We start from the raw sequence: 19,550 nt of genomic DNA on the forward strand, positions 1-19,550 counted from the left end.
ACTCCATCAAAAGAAAGAAAGAAAGACAGAGAGAGAGAGAGAAAAGAAAGAAAGAAAAAGAGAGAGAGAGAAAGAAAGAAAGAGAAAGAAAGAGAAAGAAAGAAAGAAAAAAAAAGAAAAGAAAGAAAAAACTAACTCTGGTTCAGGGTCACACATTCCTGGGTTTGATCCCCTACTCTGCCACTTGCTAATCCTATGAATTTGGGGAAGCTGCTTAACCTCACCACTCCTCAGTTTCCTCATCTAGAAAATGTACTGGTTCAGAGTGAACACATCTGTGCTCAGTAGAGAGTAGGCCACACTCAACTCCTTTTCACTTTGTCTTTCTTAACCATTGTTTCTTGGCTGTGGAAACCCCCGGAGACCTCAGAGGGAAGTGACTGTGATCTGGAGCAGATCTCACAGTATTCCTGGCTTCTGTGACTATAGTAGCTTTTCCCAGCCCCAAACAGGTTCCTGTGTGGTAAACCAGAGCCCATCTGATCTTATGAAAATCTTTGTTTTCAGACTGTCGCTCAGAATCGAACCAGGAAGCAGCTCTCCAAGACTAGTCTCTTCCAAGGAAGATCTTGCAGGTATCGTAGCTACCTCGAGTGGGAGCAAACCCACTTAATAGCCTAATTGTGGCTGCCAGAGTTGGCCTTGACCGGGGAGGCCAAGGGCAAATCAAGTTTGCAGCTTAGCAGACTCAGCTATCCCTGTTCACAGCCCTCCTGCACCAGCCTGCCCAGGCTCCTGATCATGCGGGACTTCTGTGGTTCCCCTCTGTGCCGGGGCTCCCTGGAAGAGCCTGAGTGTTAGAGCCTGGGCCTGAACAGCCCCAAGAGAGGCAGGATCAGAGCCCCAAGTTGGGAGCACACACAAGGTAGAGAAAGCCCCAGCATCTTCTCCAGGCTCTCCAGACCCTTAGCGGGGCTGCTGCCCAGGCTTGGGTTTATGTGCCCTGGAGGGGTGCGGAGGATGCCCAGGGTATCTGGTGCCACCAGATGCAGGTGGCTCATCAGACTTGTGAAACACACACACATACACTGTCCCCTAGTGATTTGAGCCCAGGCTTTGCAGTCAAGCCCGAGCTCCGCTGTTTCCTGGCTTTGTCACTTTACCTGTAATCTTCAGTGGCCTCATCCACAGAATGAAGATAATATGACGACTTACCTTCTCGGGTTGTTGTGATGCCTGAGTAAGCTCATGCCTGCCTGTAAAGTGCTCTGCTCACACTGACATTGTGAAAGTGTGCTCAGTGTTGGCTGCTTCATCGTTATTATTTAATGGTTACTTTTTACTCATATTCCAACTGACTCTCAACGACAGGAGCTGATCTCCACTGCTGTCCAGGGAGAGGTCGGGGGCGTGGGGGGTCAAGGGGAACCCAACAGCACTTCCTCCCCCTGGTTTGCGCTCTAGGTCATACCACCCTGGGTTCTAGGCCACTGCAGTCTTGGACAAGTGACTTAACCCCTTTGGGCCTCCTTTTTTTTTTTTTTTTTTTTTTTTATCCTATAAAATGGGATGATGAAACCTTCCTCCCAGGAACGTTGGAATGTCAAAAACAAAATACTATTTGGAAGGCACTCGGCTCAGAGTCTGATGTGCCCTGTTTGTAAGGGGGTGGCTGCTACAAGCTGCTACGTGGTGCCACACCTCCCCTAGCCCGTTGACCTGCTCAAGCCACTCTCCCCACTCTCTGGTGCCAGGCCAACCTCTGTAACAGCTCCTGCTGGACACAGGACCACAGAGCCCATAGGGCCAGTGTGGCAGCCTCTCATGAGCCCCACCCAGTAAGGCTCTGCCCTGATTCCCAGGGGGGACTCCGGGCTGCTTGCCTTTTCCAGCCTCTCCTGGCTGCATTGGACAAGCCAGACCCTGCCTCCAGCACCCCTGGGGGCCTCTGATATCTTAGAGAGACATGCTGGTTGATTCTCGGGGTCTCCGGAAATGCTATTGTCTATACCTCAAGACAGTCCTGGCAGAAGCTTGATTTTCACAGGGTTTCCATAAGCCCAGTATTAAAATATCTCTTGCAGTCTTCCAAATCCATTGCCTTCCATATGTGGCAGGTGACCCCCAGCAAAGGTGGCCAGAAGGAAAGCTCCTAGTGCTGGTCTTGTCTCTACTTTGTCATTTCTGCCATTCTAGAACACCTTCCCCCTCGGTCAGCATTGCTCCTTTTAGGTGCGCAGTCACCTACAACTGACCTGTGGGGGACGAGGAGGGAGCAGGGCAGGGTTCCTATCAGAAGACTGTAGGAGACAGCAGTTGTTAAGAGCTACAGAAGGAATGCTAGCAAAGACTAGCCTATTGCATCGGGAGATAGTGCCAGAATTCTGGAGCAAAATGAAAGTGGTGGTCTGTCCTTCCGAGTCCCCTCCAAATTAGTGTGAATAAGAGGCCTGTTTGGCCTTTGCAGCCTCTTCAGTTCAATAGCCTTCACAGGATGAGCCACATCCCTGGACTTCTTTAAATGCCAAGAAGTCTCCATGCCACACTTGCTGTCCTTCAGACAGCTCTGGAATACCCATCTCCCGGTGCCCCTTCCTGCTGCCTGATTCCATGCTGGAGCCACTGAGCAGGGAGAGGTGGGAGAGCCCAGGGTCAGGCACAGGATGGTGTTCGCCTTGGTGTGAGCCAACTCTGCCTTTCCCTAGTGGCTCTGTCCATCCACAGGCCACACCCTAGCCTCACCTCTGCCTGAGAGTAGCAAGGCCTCTGTGAAGTTCTCCTCCCCAGGCCCCTCGCTCAAGCCTTAGACATTCTCCCCCTTGTTTTTGTGGTCTGCTCCTGCTCATCCTGTTGGGCTCAGGGTGGCCTTTATTTCAGCTCTTGGCTTCTTTATGGCACTCACCACAACTTGTCATTATTCTCTGTCTGGTCACTGGGCCCGACTCATTCCTTGTTGGATCTTTAGCACCTGGCATTATGCCTGCCCTTTGTAGATGCTCAATTTTCGTAGGGTTTTTGGAGGAGAGGGATGGATGGGTGAGTGGGTGGGTGGGTGGATAGATGGGTGGATGAAGAGCCAGGCTGCAGCTCTGGGTGGGCCCCTGGTATACACTAGCCCAAGTGTGGAGGAGATCCTGTTGCTGCAGCCTCACGACTGAGCCTCAGAGGGCTCTCCTCCTCCCTGGTGCCTCCACCCTTCACCTCCAGCCCAAGCCCTCATCTGCCAGCCTGGCTCTCCCTGGCACCAGCCATTCAACACGCCTGCATGCTGCTTCCTGCCAGGGCGATGGCGACAGAGGCTTCCTCTTCCCCTCCAGGCATCTATGTGACCCAGCTGGTCCCTGCATTTCACCACCATCTGCCCCACTATCTCCTCCCTGAGGAAGAGCCCAGGGCCCTGCCTCAGCCTCAGCCTCAGCCTCAGCCTCAGCCTCAGCCCTAGCCCCCAGCCCAGGTCTGCGCTGAGCAACACTGGCTCCCGCTGCTAGGGGTAGGGAGAAGAACAGGAGGTTGCAGACCTGGAGCCAGGCTTAGAAAACTAAAAGTGCTAATTGGGGGCCTCAAGAATGGGGTCACTCACTGGTCCCTGGGGCAGGAAAGGAGGCACTGCATTTCCTGGCCTCCTTTGACCCCTGACTGTCCTGGAAGTCAGCTGGGCAGCTAGGAGCCAGCCCTGGCCCAGCCTCCTCAGGTACAGCCTCCTTTCCCACAATCCACCCACACCTCTACTTGGCTCTGTTGTTTATTAGCCATGTGAGACCAGAAACCAGCAAGCCAGCCAACCTCCAGCATCAGAGCCCTGGCAGGGGACAGAATGGACCCCAGATGGTTCACATGAAGAGACTTTAATGAACAGAACCAATAAAGCATGGCGAGGCACCCATGGGCCGGCCCAGGGTCCTGGGGAGGGTGGAGCCCTAGGCTAAAGGGCATGGGGAAGAAGTGTTACCAATCCCAGGGATGGCTGAGTTCTGGAGGATGATTGGCTGTGCAGGGTCTGTGGGCAGGGAGGGGGAAGCAGGAGCGAGCAGAGAAAAATCCCTGGCCTCCCTTTCCTCCAGCCCTCAGTCTGCCACCAGAGCCTTTCATTGGCCAAATCCAATAGAAAGCTGGGGGCAAGGGGTCCAGGAGATGCATCTCAGGGGTCAGCCTCCCCCGAACAGAAGTGGCAAGTGGGCAGGGCAAAAAATGCAGCTGAATTGTGTGAACAGACTACTCAGCATACTGCCAAGCCTCAGTGTCTCTATCTGTAAAGTGGGCATAAAATCTTCCTCCTTCACAGGGTAGTGTTGTTATTAGCACAGTGCGCAACATAGAACACACGTGTTAGGTGGAACTTGATCATGGTGATGTGATTATCATAATTGTCATATTGTGATTCTGCCTCCATCATTGCCTCAGCCTGCAGCTTTTAGCTAAATATCACTGCCTCGGGGAAGCCTTCTCCCCACTATCACCCCCACCCCCAATCAGGTCAGGCCGTCTAACAGCCAGGCTGTGGCAAACTGTGGGACAGATCCACCCTCTGTTTTCATATGGGCACAACCACCCCTCTTTGGTTGACATATCGCCTGTGGCTGTTTTCATGCAGCAGTGGCAGAGTTGAGTGCTTGGGACAAAGACCCTGTGGCCTGCAGAGCGTGAACTATTTACTATCTGGCTTTTACAGGCACATGCTGGCCCTGGCTCCTTCCTGCAACTGGCCCTCATGCTCCTCCGTGGCACTTCCTTCTGCAGTGATGGCACAGTTAGTTGTGGGCTTATTTGCCCATGTCTGTCTGCTCCGCCAGACTGAAAGCTCCTTGAGGAAGGGCCCAGTCTAGAATTCCTAGAGCCCAGGACAGAAATCCCTCCGTCAGCCACAACTCTTCAAGCTCCTTACAGGGTCCTGTAGGCACCTGGTCCTCAGAGGCAGCTCCAGAGTGGGCTGACTGCTGACTCGGCACAGCCTTGGGAGAAGTGCTGATGCTGGCAGTTTTCCACAGCAGAGCAAGCCCCAGCTCATAGGAGTGTTTTCCACCAATTTTCCAAATCCCTGGCTTCAGCCCTGGAAGCAGGATGTGAAGGTTTTCATTGATCACTAGAGGGTCGAGGAGTGCCTGGAAGGTTTCAGACACACTCGGGGGTCCCAGCTTCCCACTAGCAGCCTCAGAAGACAGAGAGTGGGTGCTGCTGCAGCTGTGGGGTGGCCTGGGGTCCTGGGAAGGGTGGGGCCAGAGGGGCAGCTCCAGGGAGGCCTTTCTGGACCTGGCAGCCAGACTGAGCTGCGTGGCAGGAGCCTGACCAGACTCAGGGACAGGAATGTGCCTCTTGCAGTCCCGGGAATGGGAGGAACGCAGGCTTCCCTGGCTCCTCAGGAGGGGGTTTAGGCTTCAGCTCGGTGCCCTTTCCAGTAGGCACATCCCCCACACCTGCAAAGGAGAGGCCCTAAGACATGTTCATTCATTCATTCACCCAAGACTTCCAGGCCAAGGACTTGCTGTGAGCCAGGTGCCCAGCAAGGCAAGAACCTTCCCCACAAAGCTCACATTTTAGTCGGGGAACCAGGCAGCAAAAGCTGCCAGGGGCAAGGATGGGTACACTGAGGAGCTGAAAGGAGGCAGTGGGAGCAAGACCAATGTGCCGGGCGGTCTCTCTGGCCCTCTTCTAGGCAGCGCCCACGCCTCTACCCCTCTACCCAGCCTACCTGCCCTCACATTGACAGTGGCCCAGGTCTCGCCCTTTGAGGCCTTGATTCAAGTCCGAAGTGGTCTGTGGGCTGAGGCTGCCCTTTGTCTCTGGGATGGTCCCTGTTGCCCACAGAGAGCTGGCCCCCACTTTCCACCCCTGCAGAATGACTTCACAGGCAGTTCCACACCAACAAATAGGCTGTGAGAAAGGAAATGGAGAAACCTTCTCAGTTTCTGTGTCTGTGGAGAAAAAAGGCCAAGAATGCCACGTTTTCCATTTTCCCTCCACATGTAATGTTTAGTTTCTATAAATGAACTAATATTTTCCTGGAGAGAAAAAAATCATAAAGAACGTTGACCCCCAGAGAGGGCAAGTAATGTTTGTGTGTACTTTGGAACTGGTGAAGACATTTCCAGATTTTGTTAGCCCCGCCTCCACGTGGCTTTACCAACTGACAGGTTTTCTCAGAAGATTCCTGGGCAGCACCGCGAGTCCAGGAAAATCTTCAGCCTTGGCCTCTGGTTTCTGTGCTCGCACTGTGAGGACTGCTCTCTGACACACCTGCGTGTCTCCCTGTTGTATTGCCTGGTGGTAGAAACCACCTCTGGAGTCAGGCAGAGCTCAGTTCAGAGCCTGGCTCCAGCAGTTCTTAGCTGTAGGCCCTTGGGTCATTGGTTTGATCCCCCTGTTTTCCTATTGGAGAAATAGGAATAGGAATCTTCATACAGACATACTTCACAGGGTCTCTGGGGAAGTCCCCTTAGTCCAGCCCCTGGCATACACTTACCTCTTGAGAGTGTTAGCTCGTGGCCTCCCAGGCGGGCTCTGGTGCCGTCCAGACATCGGGGAGTTGGTAGGGGGACAGAGGGAGCTCCTGCTGAGGCACTCACCAGCATACCAGTACTGCTGTCACTCACGAGCCACCCCAGAACCTAAGGGCATGAAACAACCATTTTATTACATGCATAGACTCTGTCGGTCAGGAAGCTGAACAGGGCTCCGGCTGGAGCTGGAGTCACCTGGAGCCATCTTCACTCACATGCTCAGTGCTTGCTGCCAGATGGGGCTTGAGCTACAAGCGGGGGGCGCAGAACACTTACCTGTGGCCCCCCACTGTGGCCTGGGCCTCCTGACAGCATGGCAGCCTCAGTATTGCAGCCTCCTGCAGGGCAGCTGGCTTTCACCCAGAGCAAATGGCTAAGGAGAGCAGGGTAGAACCTGCATCACAGAGCCCTTATGAGCCAGCCTCAGAAGTCACGCAGCCTTACTGCTGCCACACTCTGCTGCTCAGGGCAGTCACGAAAGCCTGCAGGTCCAAGGAGAGGGACGTAGACCCTACCACTGAATGGGAGCAGCATCAAAGACTTTGTGGACAGGTTTTAAAGCCAGCACCTCAGCTGTTCCACAGGAGGGAAACAGAGGCTCCAAGAGTTACGTAATACCAGTCATAGCAGCTAAGCTGCTTTGAGCCTGTACTCTCTGCCAAGCACCATCGTAAGTGCTTGTCATGTGCTCACTCAGTGACCCTGACACAGACACTGTGAGGTGGGGCCAATGTCATCCCCATTCTACAGGTGAAGATGCAGGTGCTCGCGCAGCCTCATGCATTGAGGAAGTGGCAGAACCAGTTGCCAAGCCCAAGGCTCTGGACAGCCTCTGAGGCTCTGTCCCCACAGCTCCATATATCCGTATAGTGCAAGTAGGCATTACATTGGCATGTCCTTGACTTTCCTACAGTCACTTTTGAGTCACACATTGTCCCCAGTTGGTCCTCAGAAGGCAACTTCCATGTAAGAATCAGAACTCCAAACCTGATCTAACATTAACTCTAATCTCCTTGTTACAACCTAGTTGGGGTGCTTCAGGCCTGGCTGCTTGTGGCAAGAGAGGAGGAGTGTTTGGCCCTTCTCCCTCCCTAGGCCTTTCTCCATCTCTTTGGCCTGTGGCAACTGGGGGAGAGGATACAGTCGTAATTGGAGCATAGGGTCATATGAGCCACATCCAGGCAAGGAGTTGGCCAGAGGTAGGTTTGAGTCTTGCCTCTTCTGCTTGACCTTGATGTCAAGGCTGCTGAGATGGGAGACTCAAGAACAAAGGAGATGTGAAATCCCAGAATAATGGGCCACAACTGGCCTCCTATCCCTGGAGCTCCTCAAGGAGGGCCCCTCCCGCCCATCCATTCTGAAAATATAAACGGGCAGCGAGAGTATGTTTCCCCTGCAGATCTCATGTTTAAGGGGCCAGGCGTGGTGGTTCATGCCTGTAATCCTGGAACTTTGAGAGGCTGAGGCAGGCAGATGGCTTGAGCCCAGAGTAGAGTTTGAGACCGGCCTGAGCAATATGGCAAAACCCCATCTGTTTAAAAAAAAAAAAAAAAATTAGCAAGGCGTGGTAACTTGTACCTTAGCTTCCTGAGGCCATCACTAGAAGCAGATGCTGGCAGCATAATTCCTTACAGCCTGTAGAACCATGAGCCAGTTAAGCCTACCTACCTACCTTCCTTCCTTCCTTCCTGCCTTCCTTCCTTCCTTCCTCCCTTCCTTCCTTCCTTCCTCCCTCCCTCCCTCCCTCCCTCCCTCCCTTCCTTCCTCCCTTCCTTCCTCCCTTCCTTCCTTCCTTTTTTTTTTTTTTTGACGGAGTCTCGCTCTGTCACCCAGGCTGGAGTGCAGTGATGTGATCTCGGCTCACTGCAGCCTCTGTCTCCTGACTTCAAGTGATTCTCCTGCCTCAGCCTCCCGAGTAGCTGGGATTACAGTCGCCCGCCACCATGCCCAGCAAATTTTTGTATTTTTAGTAGAGATGGGTTTCACTATGTTGGCCAGGCTGCTCTTGAACTCCTGACCTCAGGTGATCTGCCCACCTTGGCCTCCCAAAGTCCTGGGATTACAGGCGTGAGTCACCATGCCCAGCCTAAACATCTTTTCTTTATAAATTATCCAGCCTCAGGTATCCCTTTATAGTAATGCAAATGTACTAATACAGAAAATACCCCACTCCTAGTACCTATTTTCTGTGTTAGGCCATTCTTGCATCACCATAAATAAATACCTGAGGCTGAGTAATTTATTTTAAAAAGAGGTTTAATTGGCTCCCAGTTCTGCAAGCTTTACAAGCATGGCACCAACATCTGCTTGGCTTCTGGTGAGGGCCTCAAGAAGCTTACAGAAGGTGAAGGATGAACAAGCATGTCACATGGTGAGAGCAGAAGCAAGAGATTCAGGGGTGAGGAGAGGCAAGTTCCCAGACTTTTAAACAACCAGACCTCCCGTGAACTGAGTGAGAACTCACTCATCACCAGGGGGATGGTGCTAAGCCATTCATGAAGGATCCGCCCCCGACCCAGTCACCCCACCAGGCCTCGCCTCCAACACTGGGAATCACATTTCAACATGACATTTGGAGGGGCAAACCATTTCACAGGGCCTTCTAGCTGGCAGCCGATATCGCTGATGCTTCTTCTCCCAGGCACTTCCGTGGGTATTTCAGAGATTCCACAAGTCCCTTGACCCAGGCAGATGCAAACCTATTTTGGGGACCCCTGCAGCCCCTTCCATGCCCCCCCGCAAAGTCTGGTGCCCACTGCCAGCTTCCTGATGTTTGGGTCCCCTCCAGCCCTCAACTCTGCCAGCTTTCCTCACATGGGCCACCTCGGTCCACAGGAGGCCGTACCTGTCCTCATTCTAACAGACCTGTGAGCACAACAGACCTGCCTGTGGCCACCGCTGTCTTCTGGCACAGCCGTTTGGCCTCATCAGGCCTGAGTAAGGCACAGTAGCTCCCCTGGGTCTCCTGACTGCTAGAGACATAGTTCAACCTCCGCAGGGGGTCTGTGGAGACTCCGCCTGACTATGTGTGAGTAGAAAAAGAGAACAGCCAGGGGCAAGCTGTAGGCCCTCTCTCCATGTGCTCCTCTCTCTGGAAACATACTCTCTCTGCCCGTTTATATTTTCGGAATGGATGGGTGGGAGGGGCCCTCCATGAGGACCTCAGGGATAGGAGGCCAGTTGTGGCCCATTACTCTGGGATTTCACATCTCCTTTGTTCTTGAGTCTCCCATCTCAGCAGCCTGTCACATCAAGGTCAAGCAGAAGAGGCAAGACTCAAACCCACCTCTGGCCAACACCCTGCCTGGATGTGGCCCAGCTCCTCACGAGTACCAGCGGCTCCCCCAGCATCTGCTGCTCCGCGCTCCCCGTGGCCTAGGAATCTAAGAAATGATCAAGGTCAACCAGGTGCAGTGGCTCTCACCTGTAATCCCAGCACTTTGGGAAGCCGAAGCAGGAGGATCACTTGAGCCCAGGAGTTCAAGACCAGCCTGGGCAACATGGCAAAACCCCATCTCTACAAAAGTATATAAATGATCTGGGCATGGTGGTGCGTGCCTACAGCCCCAGCTCCTCAGGGCTTAGGCGAGATCGCTTGATCCCAGGAGGGGGAGGCTACAGTGAGCCGTGATCGCGCCACCGCGCTCCAGCTTGGGTGACAGAGCAAGACCTTGTCTCAGGAAAAAAAAAAAAAAGGAAATGAACCAGGCCCTCTAAATGATGTGTGAGACAGCTCTTGGCTGACAGCGAGAACTCGTGAGAGCTGCATGTATGAGAAACAATGTGTGTGAATGTGAAAGTGACCAGCTCCCAGGCTCCACTGTGAAACCTGGCCAGAGAAGGGTTTCAACACAGACTTTCTGTGCAGAGGGGCCCCAGTGTCCTGGAGAGCCACAGGGTCTGGCAGACCTGGAGAGGGCCTGAGTCCTTGGGAACCGGATTCTCAGCCTGGGCAGGAGAAACACTGAGGACACTGAGCCCCCTTCACATTAGGTGAAAGTCACCGTGTGCACCAGAGGCTCAGAGTGGTACCTGCAAGAGCACCCGGTTGCACAGTTGTCAAGCCCCCTCCTCCAGTGAGAAAACGCAGGCTCCAAAGAATGAGACTGGACTGTGAGCTCCCAGCTCAGCGTGGGGCAGAGGCTGGACTGGAACCCAAGTCTTGTGACTCCAAGCTGAGTAGTTTCCCCTCTGCCACAGCTGCCTCCCATTAATTTCTGATGTGCGATACTTGGAAAGTGCCCCTGTGAGCGGCAGCAGGGCTGCCAGGCTGCTTAAATAGGGCAGTGCTGTCCCAGGCAGGCCACTTGGATGCTGCCGGAAATCCGTGGGAACGAGGCTTCCCATCCCAAACACATGTCTTCCTCCGCAGCCATGAGCACTATGCCCATCTACCCAGTGGCCTCCAGATATCAATCCCAAAATGAACTTCTCATCGTGTCCCCAGAACCTGACAGTACCAGGGATACCACTCCACCGACGGTCACCCCAAGTCCCCCTCCCTCCATACCCCCAGCCTGTGGTGTCAAGTCTTGGCCACATCTGGTTGCTCTCCAACCAAAGCAAACTTTCTAGGGTACACATCTGAATGCATCAGTGCCCCTTCCTAAAAATCTCTACACCTTCCCCTCGTTGAACTCCAGGCTTCTTCAAAGGCCTTGCTCTCTGTCAACCCGAGTCTGTGCACATGCTGTTCTGTCTGCATCCATCACTGCTCCTGCTGGAGCTCTTGCACCCACCTGGACATCAGGCCCTCCAGGGGTCCCCTCTGTGTTCTCACGTGCACCGTGCTCAGGGCTGTCCCGTTCACTGGCTGCTCAACTGGGCAAGTTCCTGAACTCTTCCCTTGTCAGGTTCTACATCCTAAAAGTGAGATAGCAACAGTATTTGCATGGCAGTGTTAATGTGAGGCTTAAATAAGATCAGGTGTACAAAGCATTTATCACAGTTCCTGGCACCTTGTAGATGCTCAGTAAATGTTAGCTGCTGTCATTATTACCATCATTATTGTTGTAGTTATACTACTGGTGTAGTTGTTGCCTTTACCGTATTTATTATTATTATTCTCATGTAAAAGTAGATGTCTCTCCTGGTGTAATTACCTGGCTACTTCTCTCTCCCACACTTGACTGGAAACTCATCTTTCTAATCCAGTGTAGTATCTCCAGCTCCTGCCCCCGAGGTCAGGACTCAGGAAAAGTTTGTCACGTGAAGGAGGGAGGGATGCTGTATGGCTTACTCCTCACAGGGAGGCTGTCAGTCAGGGTCATCATTCCTGTTTTGCAGATGTAGAATTCAGGTTCAGAGGTGTGAGGTGACCTACTCAAGGTCACTCATCCTGCAAATGGCAGACACAGGTGGTGGACCAGGCCTGTCTGCCTTCAGATCCTGAGTCTTTGGCATCACTGTTCATCATCCTGTCCACTCCAAGGCTGTTGTTAGGAGGCTCTGGGCTCATTTCTCTTCCAATCAATGAGAGGTCTGTTGGGCAGCCTGTTGCTTTCTTGAAAGAAGTGTAATGAAAACCAGATTTTTTTTCAACATGATATCTCGTTCCCCACAGAGACTGTCAGTTCTCATATGTTCCAATAAAACTGCTAAAGAAACAGCCACTTAAAGAGCTTTAAAGATTATTCATGGAAAAATTATGCTGAGGAAAAATGGAGCAATCCTCTGAGATAGTCAAGCCACATGGTCAGTTTTTCCAGCTGTCCGTGCCATATCGGGGCTGGCAGCAGGAACTGCACTCTGCTCAGCCCGCCCAGAGCCCTGGTGCATTATGACCACCCACACCCTTGCCCCTGCTGCGGGACATGGAGAAACAAACTTGCCAGCCACCCAGCTCACAAGCGGTCCCAGAAGACACGTGTCCCTGGTGCTGTCACGTGGTGGCCACCCCAGGCTTGGCAGGGCAGGAACATGAGGCCTTTCAGTAGCAGAGGGTGTCACTTACTGGCAGAGAGGCCCCCCATCCCTGGGGCCCAGTTGAATGGGAATTCTTCTGCTTCCGCGTCAGACCCAGGCTGTTGGTCAACAATGCAGAAGAGGGGAGGAGCTGAGACCCAGAGCAGGGAGAGCAGCATCAGCTTTGAAACGGTGCCCAGGGAGGCTGCAGGCTTTTCTGCTGGGCCCCCCACCCTTCCTCCAGTTGGGTCAAGGGGCATCTGAGGCCAGGCGTGTCTCCCAGGGCCATCCACAGCCGAAAGAAGAGGTGGCAGATCCAGGCCTAGTCCTGGAGGGAGAGTCAAGAATTGAATGGAAGAGACCAAGGGCAAGTCCAGTGGGTTTGGGAGAGACTGGGCATGGGAATCGGAGCTAGAGGCAGGAAGCACATGGAGACAGACAGGAAAAGGAGTCAGGCAGGAGTGAGCAGGAAGGGCCGAAGAAGTTACCAGAAGAGACTTGGAGCCTCCGCGTCTCACTGCACCCCTCCAGCTGTGTGACTGCAGAGTGCCTCTGAGCCTTCCTTTAAAATGGCGATGATAAAAGTTACTAACCTCATAGGAGTCAAGGAACAGGACTTGGAAGTGTTTACTCAAGTCTGGCACACAGTGCATAATAGATGCTAGTTCCCATCACCTTCCTTTCCTCAAGGGTAGTAACTGGGTCTTACCCACTACAGACTTCCTGGAGGAAATGTCTCCTGTTTACTAGATCACTTCAGATATGGCCACCGTGTTCCTCCTTCCTCATGTTCTGACCAGCGCCTGACCTCTGAACAGCTAGCCTTCCTCCCCAGCCACCACAAGAGTGCGGCACACCTGGGATCAAGTCCTGCCTCCAGCGTGCAGTAGCTCTGTAAGCCCCACTTTCTGATCTGTAAAATGGGGCTACTAAGAGTTTCCACCTCAAGTCTTGTGGCACAGGTACAGAGCATAGCGCTGGGCGCATTACATTAGATTATAATTATCATCATTATTATTACTACCACAACACCAGGTAGCCTTGGGTTCCACTCCAAACCGCAAGGGAGGAGCAATGCAATTTGACCTTTAGAAAACACTTTTCTGAGTCAGGGTGGGAGCCAGAGTGACTCAGGCAGTGAGACTGTAATCCCTCGCGCATGGCTGCTGATAAACAAGGCAAGATCCACCCTCTACATGGATTTGTTTCTTGAGCAATATGTGCAAAACCAAAACAAAGCAGGATGGTTTTCATTCTTCGTTTTCCTTTCTGGAACAACTGCACGAGATGTTTCCTTTGGAACGGAGCCTGCCTGTGTTGCAGCGCTTTGAGCAGAGTTTCTTCCCCCGGGGTGCACAGCAGAATCACCTGGAGAGCTTTGGCTCCAGGTCTGCAATGCCCAGACCCACCTGTGGCCCACAGAATCAACCTCCAGGGGTGGCCCAAGAAACTCCGTTTTTAACACTCTCTCCAGATGGTTCTGATATATTCTTTGGTTAAGAATTAGAGCCTTTTTTTTTTTTTTTTTTTTTTTTAGACGGAGTCTCACTCTGTTGCTCAGGCTGGAGTGCAGTGGCGCGATCTAGGCTCACTGCAACCTCTGCCTCCTGGGTTCAAGTGATTCTCCTGCCTCAGCCTCCTGAGTAGCTGGGACTATAGGTGCCTGCTACCACACCCGGCTAATTTTTTGTGTTTTTTAGTAGAGACAGGGTTTCACCATATTGGCCAGGCTGGTCTCAAACTCCTGACCTCGTGATCCGCCCGAGCCTCAAAGAAGCTGATGACCACATGGAACCCCTTGCGGGGAAAATGCACAGATACAAAAGCTTAGCTGCACTTTCAGTCCTCTATACACCTCTCCTGGGTTTGTGAAGTCTAAGCCACAAACCTTTCCTTTAGAGTCATGCCTCTCCAGTTCCATTACGGTGGATTGGTCTGTCAGATCCTGTTCTTGAGATGCCATCTGAAAGCAGGAACTGGGGCCTCAGAGAGCCTCTCCTCTCTCCTGCCACCAGGCTGGTTTATCTAGGCAGCTGTGCCAAGAGGCAGTGTCGGGTGGTGGGGTCTCTTTGTTAAGGTTCTTTGAACTGTAGCAACAAAGACAGACTGGCTGACTTCAACCAAAAGAGGATCCATTGGGCTGGTTGCAGTGGCTCATGCCTGCAATTCCAGCACTTTGGGAGCCTGAGATCGGTGGATCACTTGAGGCCAGGAGCTTGAGACCAGCCTGGCCAACATGGTCGCAAAACCCCATCTGTACTAAAGACTAAGAAACCCCATCTCTACTAAAAAAAAAAAAAAAAATGTAGCCAGGCATTGTGGCGTACGCCTATAATCCCAGCTGCTTGGGAGGTTAAGGCATGAGAATCACCTGAATGCAGGAGGTGAAGGTTGCAGTGAGCCAAGATGGCACCACTGCACTCCAGCCTGGGCGACAGAGCAAGACTGTCTCAAAAAAAAAAAAAAAAAAAAAAAAAAAAAACCCCATTGGCTCACAGAATCCAGGGAGGGCTGAACAGCCAGGCCAGGGACACACTGGGTGTCAGGAACAGCTGAAACAGAACTCTCTTCCACCTTGCTTTGTGGCCTCACTCAGTGAGGTTACTTTCTTTTTCTGTCACCACAGATCAGATTCCCTCACCACAAGCAGGGAAACATGGCCATCCTTAGTATCTAGGTTTTATTTCTCATTCATCAAACAGAGATTGTCCTCAAATGCTTTCTAGGCTCAAATCCAACAGTCCTGGGGAGTGTATCCACTCGTAGACCCATCAGCTGGGGCCAGAGGCGAGGCCGCTTTGGACTGGCATTGCCTCCCCTGTCTCCATCAGTGGGAGGAGAACGTGCTTCCTGAGAAGGTGCTGGGCAGGTGATCCCAGGTGTCTGCTCCATGCACCCACAAGGCCTAGACTTGAACCTAACCCCGTCGCCAGCCAGGTTCTGGACGCATGCTTGGTGCCTACCCACTGAGCTTCTACTACTCTACTTGCAAGTTGAAGCTAATAATACAGACCTCAGAGGAGTGCTGTGTGGATTAAATGTGAAGGCACTACAGGGTCAAGGCAGACACAAATGATACAAGTTGGGTGGTTGGAGGAGAGTTTCAGAATGGGGCTATTTACAAAGATGTGGGCAGAGTGTGGGGACCCCAAAGGACAGCTCAGTACCCCAGGGTTAGAAATAGACTGCCACCTCTCAGGAGGGACCCCACAGGCAGAGAGCCAAAGGAGGCAGCTCCCCGTCAGCCTAACCCAGCGAGGGGCCAGAGCGGGCCAGGGAGCCTACTGACCTAGCCCCATATGCAGCCCCCTGGTCCGTGGCACAGGGTGGAGAAGGGTGGAGGACAAATCTGGAGGGGCAGGTGGAGATTCCAGCACAGCACCTGGCACAGAGTAGGTGGCCACTATTTTTAAAGTAGTCTCACTTTAAATAATGAAATAGTTAATGCATAGAGAATACCTATTGTCCTCACTATCCGTATTTAATAGCAGTTAACATTTTGCCAGGTTCACCACATATTTCTTTAAGTATTAATACTACACACAGAGGGAAGGCCTCTCACCCCCATCCTGCCTCATTTCCCTTTCCTCCCTACAGTTACTGCTGTGCTGATTTACATTATTCTTGTGCAGGTTTTGCGTTTTACTGCATATGTACTTGTGTGTAAACATATATACTGTTGTTTTGTGTGTTTGTAAAAATTTGACCTAAGTGGCATAATGCCATAAACATTCTTTTGCAACTTACTCTCTCCACTTAACATAAGTTTTGGGTTTTGTTTGTTTGTTTGTTTGTTTTTTGAGACAGGGTCTCAGTTGCCCAGGCTGGAGTGCAGTGGCATGATATCAGCTTACTGCAGCCTCCACCTCCTGGGTTCGAGCAGTCCTCCCACCTCAGCCTCCTGAGTAGCTGGGACTGCAGGTGCACACCACCGTACTGGACTAGGTTTTGTATTTTTTTTTAGAGACGGGGTTTCACTGTGTTGCCCAGGCTGAAACATAAGTTTTTACGATTTATCTGTATTGATACCTGTAGATGCAGTTTCTTCTCTTTGTAGAATTTGTTGTAAATAAACCACAGCTCATTTATCTATTTCCCTACTGATTGGCATGTAGCTTGTTTCTGCTTTTTTGCAATGACGCACAATGCTACCTTGAGCATCCTTGTGTATGTGGCTCCTCGTGTATATATGCAGGAGTTTCTCTAGAGTAAAAACCTCAATTAGAATCACCAGGTATAAAAGGCAGGGCATCTTCCTTTATTCAGCACTGCTCATTGCTTTCCAAATATTTCACCTTCATATAAGCCCCAAACTAGAGTTCCTGTTCCTCCCCTTCTGCCAATGCAATACATTGTCAGGCTAAATTTTTTATTTTTTTACCATCTGTTGTAATAAAAAGATATCTCCTTTTACTCTCATTTGCATTTCCATTATTACCAGTGGGGTTAAGCGTCTTTCCTTATTGTTACTGGCCATTTGGAGACTCTGTTCCTTGAATTTGCCTTTCATATCTTTTGCTTGTTCTCTCTGTGTGGTTTGTCCTTTCTTACAGATATTTGAAGTTCTCTGTGTATCTGAAAGCTAATCCTGTGTTGGTTTAGGGGTGACACATACCTTCTCCCAGACTGTGATTCGCCTTTTAACACTGATTTTGATGTCGTTTTTGGTCGGTTGTTTTGGTACAGACATTTAAATGTTGTCAAATTTATTCATCTCTTCCTTTAGGATTTGTGTTTTTTCTTTCTTCCCTTTCCCCAAGATTATAATGATTGTCTCCTATTTTTTTCCCAGTAGTTTTGCTTTTCACATTTGTGACATTAATCCACTTGCTTAACATAAGGCAGGACTCTAATTTTGTCTTTTTCCACATGGAACCCAGTGGTTTTGCCCCTCATCCTGAAAAGTTCCTCCTTTCCCCACTGACTGGTAATGCCGCCACCATCAGGAAGCATGTCGGGCTCTCACTTTGTATTCACTGAACTGTGTCTGCATCCATGCCCAATACCACACTCTTTGAATACTACTGCTTTAGGTTTTGTTCTGCCATCCAGTAGGGCAAGTCTTGCACTGTTTTTCTTCAGAATAGTCTTGGCTACTCTGTCTTTTTTCTTTTCCATCAGGTTTTTTTGTTTTTGTTTTTTGGGTTTTTTTTTGTTTTTTTTTTTTTTTGAGATGGAGTCTCACTCTGTCACCCAGGCTGGAGTGCAGTGGCACGATCTCGGCTCACTGCAAGCTCTGCCTCCCAGGTTCACGCCATTCTCCTGCCTCAGCCTCCCGAGTAGCTGGGACTACAGGCACCTGCCACCACGCCCGGCTAATTTTTTGTATTTTTAGTAGAGACGGGGTTTCACCGTGTCAGCCAGGATGGTCTTGATCTCCTGACCTTGTGATCTGCCCGCCTCGGCCTCTCAAAGTGCTGGGATTAGAGGCGTGAGCCACGGCGCCCGGCCTCCACTGGGATTTTAAGAGTGGCTTAAATGGCCAGGTCAGGAAGAACTTTGAACACCATGTCATGGATGATTTCAAGCAAGGCGGTGACATGGTTAGCTTCACGTTTTTCAAATACTTATGAAGCTGTGCTTGGGTTAGATTTTAGAAGATCAGACTGGAGGCAGGAAGACAATAAAATGTGGGGGCCCAGACCAGTCAGTGACAAGAGAGGTGGGCAGGGAGGGGCTGTGCAGAGTCTGGAGGCCATGATGACTGTGCAGCAAGTGAGGAGGGAAAGGGAGGAGAGAAGAGGCAAGTTGCCGTGTGGCAGGAGCCGAGGGTGGGCTCCCATTCCAGGCCAGGCGACTGGGCAACCCACAGTGCCTCCAGCCAAGGCTGGAAACAGGAGAAGGAGTTGCAGGCTTAGCCTTAGCTGTGCTGCACTTGATGCATCTTAGGAAAGGGCAGATGGAGGGATGGTGCCAAGAGGTGGATGTATGGGTCTCAGGCTCAGAAAAGAGGTCTGGGCCAGGCCTGGTGGCACCCTCCTGTGATCCCAGCTACTCAGGAGGCTGAGCTGACAGGGTTGCTTGAGCTGGTGAGCCGGGGAGGTCGAGGCTGCAGCGAGCCATCATAGCATCACTGCGCTCCATCCTGGGTGACAGGGCCAGACCCTGTGTCAAAAAAAAAGAAAAGAAAAGAGGACTGTAGTCAAGATTTAAGAGTCATCAGCTATCCAATCAAAGAAAAAACAGGAGCCAAAGAGGGAGTCCTGTGTGGACAACTCCAGCATGAGGGGTGTTAGAGGAAGAGAAGGATCTCACGGAAGAGGTGGTGACAGTGATTGAAGAGGCACAGGGAGAAGCAGGAGAGTGTGGCATAGTGCCTGCCAAGGAAGGAGGGCATTTTGAGAAGGAGTGACCCCGAGCACCAGGTGCCAAGGGCTCTGGGAGGAGGCTGACGAGCCTTCATTGATTTGGCAAGAAGGAGGTCAGTGGATGTGTCATTAGGTACAGAAGTCAGAGCTGAGTGACTGGAGGAGCACAGACCTCCATTTGCTGGGAAAAGATCCAGTGAAGGACCTTGGCTTACAGGGAAAGAGAGACTAGAGCTTGCCTGTAGGCTGGGGGAAGGAGCCAGAGAGAGAAGGGGAAAGTGAGGCAGGGAATTATCAGAGGAGACGGGTAGGACCTGAGAGAAGAGAAGGGCCCCGGCCTGGTGGGAAGGCCAGTGTGAATGGAGGTGTGCATGGCCACTGCAAGGGTGGCTGTGAGAGAGATCCCACCTGACATCCAGTGTTGTCACTGAAGTAAAGAGTGGCAGCATTTGAAAGGGGTGGGGTCTTGGAGTTGCCCGGGGGCACTGAGGAAAGAAGTGACATTTTGGAATGTTATTGAGAATAAGAAAGTTGGCTAAGGCTTAATAAAGGGATTGGTGGGGGCGGATGAAGGAGAAGGTGCCTGTGCAGAGTGGGGTTGGGAAGGAGGGGGGACAGCAGAGAAGACAACTCATGGGAAGTGAGCACTCAGCCAGCACAGGAGCTCAGAACTGGAGGTGATGCAAGTGCCCTTGCCTCCTGAATCTGCCAAAATGCCAGATGGGCCAGCCTTCCCACAGTATACGGGCTGGGGGTGTGGGTCATTATTTTGGACATTAAGATGACCCAAGCAGGCTGGAGGACATGGGAACCTGTAGGCCACTGGTGGGTCTGTAGGGCCTTGTGTTGGAGGACCTGGAGGTCTGGGTGGGCTTGGGCCTTATGGGTCCCCCCAAGAAAGTTC

The 19,550-nt window shown here is 51.8% G+C and overlaps 1 protein-coding gene and 1 long non-coding RNA gene across 66 annotated transcripts in view, besides 5 other annotated features; one reads left to right on the top strand and one right to left on the bottom strand.

Annotated features, from left to right (window-relative positions):
• Positions 1–19,550, top strand: part of RALGPS1 (Ral GEF with PH domain and SH3 binding motif 1) — a 308,385-nt gene that overhangs the window by 259,426 nt on the left and 29,409 nt on the right. For 54 of the 55 annotated variants that reach the window (XM_011519233.2, XM_047424120.1, NM_001322321.2 and 51 more), the window contains one exon: positions 508–575. In XM_011519233.2, coding sequence (XP_011517535.1) covers positions 508–575 — 68 coding nt within the window. Of the gene's footprint in view, positions 1–507; positions 576–3,689; positions 4,325–19,550 lie in introns of those variants that run through there. The other variant, NM_001190730.2, reaches the window with a different exon arrangement.
• On the bottom strand, positions 3,770–11,629 carry LOC105376278 (uncharacterized). Of its 11 annotated transcripts, none has more exons than XR_007061789.1 (6): positions 11,537–11,629; positions 11,215–11,297; positions 6,398–6,542; positions 6,059–6,303; positions 5,627–5,808; positions 3,770–4,987 (listed from the first exon to the last, which is right to left on the bottom strand). It is a non-coding gene; the product is annotated as an uncharacterized LOC105376278 (long non-coding RNA). The 11 variants fall into 11 exon arrangements; XR_007061787.1 differs by adding an exon at positions 9,721–9,817 and having other exon boundaries at positions 5,627–6,303; XR_007061790.1 differs by having other exon boundaries at positions 3,770–5,351; positions 11,174–11,297.
• Positions 6,691–7,190: an enhancer, noted in NCBI's record as "H3K4me1 hESC enhancer chr9:129943177-129943676 (GRCh37/hg19 assembly coordinates)". NCBI's record gives its function as "activates a minimal SCP1, AML or CMV promoter by ChIP-STARR-seq in naive and primed H9 embryonic stem cells {active_cell/tissue: H9 hESC(naive and primed)}" and the evidence as "EXISTENCE:reporter gene assay evidence [ECO:0000049][PMID:30033119]".
• Positions 9,923–10,493: an enhancer, noted in NCBI's record as "H3K4me1 hESC enhancer chr9:129946409-129946979 (GRCh37/hg19 assembly coordinates)". NCBI's record gives its function as "activates a minimal SCP1, AML or CMV promoter by ChIP-STARR-seq in naive H9 embryonic stem cells {active_cell/tissue: H9 hESC(naive)}" and the evidence as "EXISTENCE:reporter gene assay evidence [ECO:0000049][PMID:30033119]".
• Positions 10,107–10,176: an enhancer, noted in NCBI's record as "active region_29033". NCBI's record gives its function as "activates an Ori minimal core promoter by ATAC-STARR-seq in GM12878 lymphoblastoid cells {active_cell/tissue: GM12878}" and the evidence as "EXISTENCE:reporter gene assay evidence [ECO:0000049][PMID:35858748]".
• Positions 11,898–12,398: an enhancer, noted in NCBI's record as "H3K4me1 hESC enhancer chr9:129948384-129948884 (GRCh37/hg19 assembly coordinates)". NCBI's record gives its function as "activates a minimal SCP1, AML or CMV promoter by ChIP-STARR-seq in primed H9 embryonic stem cells {active_cell/tissue: H9 hESC(primed)}" and the evidence as "EXISTENCE:reporter gene assay evidence [ECO:0000049][PMID:30033119]".
• Positions 15,001–15,060: an enhancer, noted in NCBI's record as "active region_29034". NCBI's record gives its function as "activates an Ori minimal core promoter by ATAC-STARR-seq in GM12878 lymphoblastoid cells {active_cell/tissue: GM12878}" and the evidence as "EXISTENCE:reporter gene assay evidence [ECO:0000049][PMID:35858748]".

This window comes from Homo sapiens, chromosome 9 (assembly GCF_000001405.40).
Source record: "Homo sapiens chromosome 9, GRCh38.p14 Primary Assembly".
In the NCBI taxonomy this organism is placed as follows: Eukaryota; Metazoa; Chordata; class Mammalia; order Primates; family Hominidae; genus Homo; species Homo sapiens.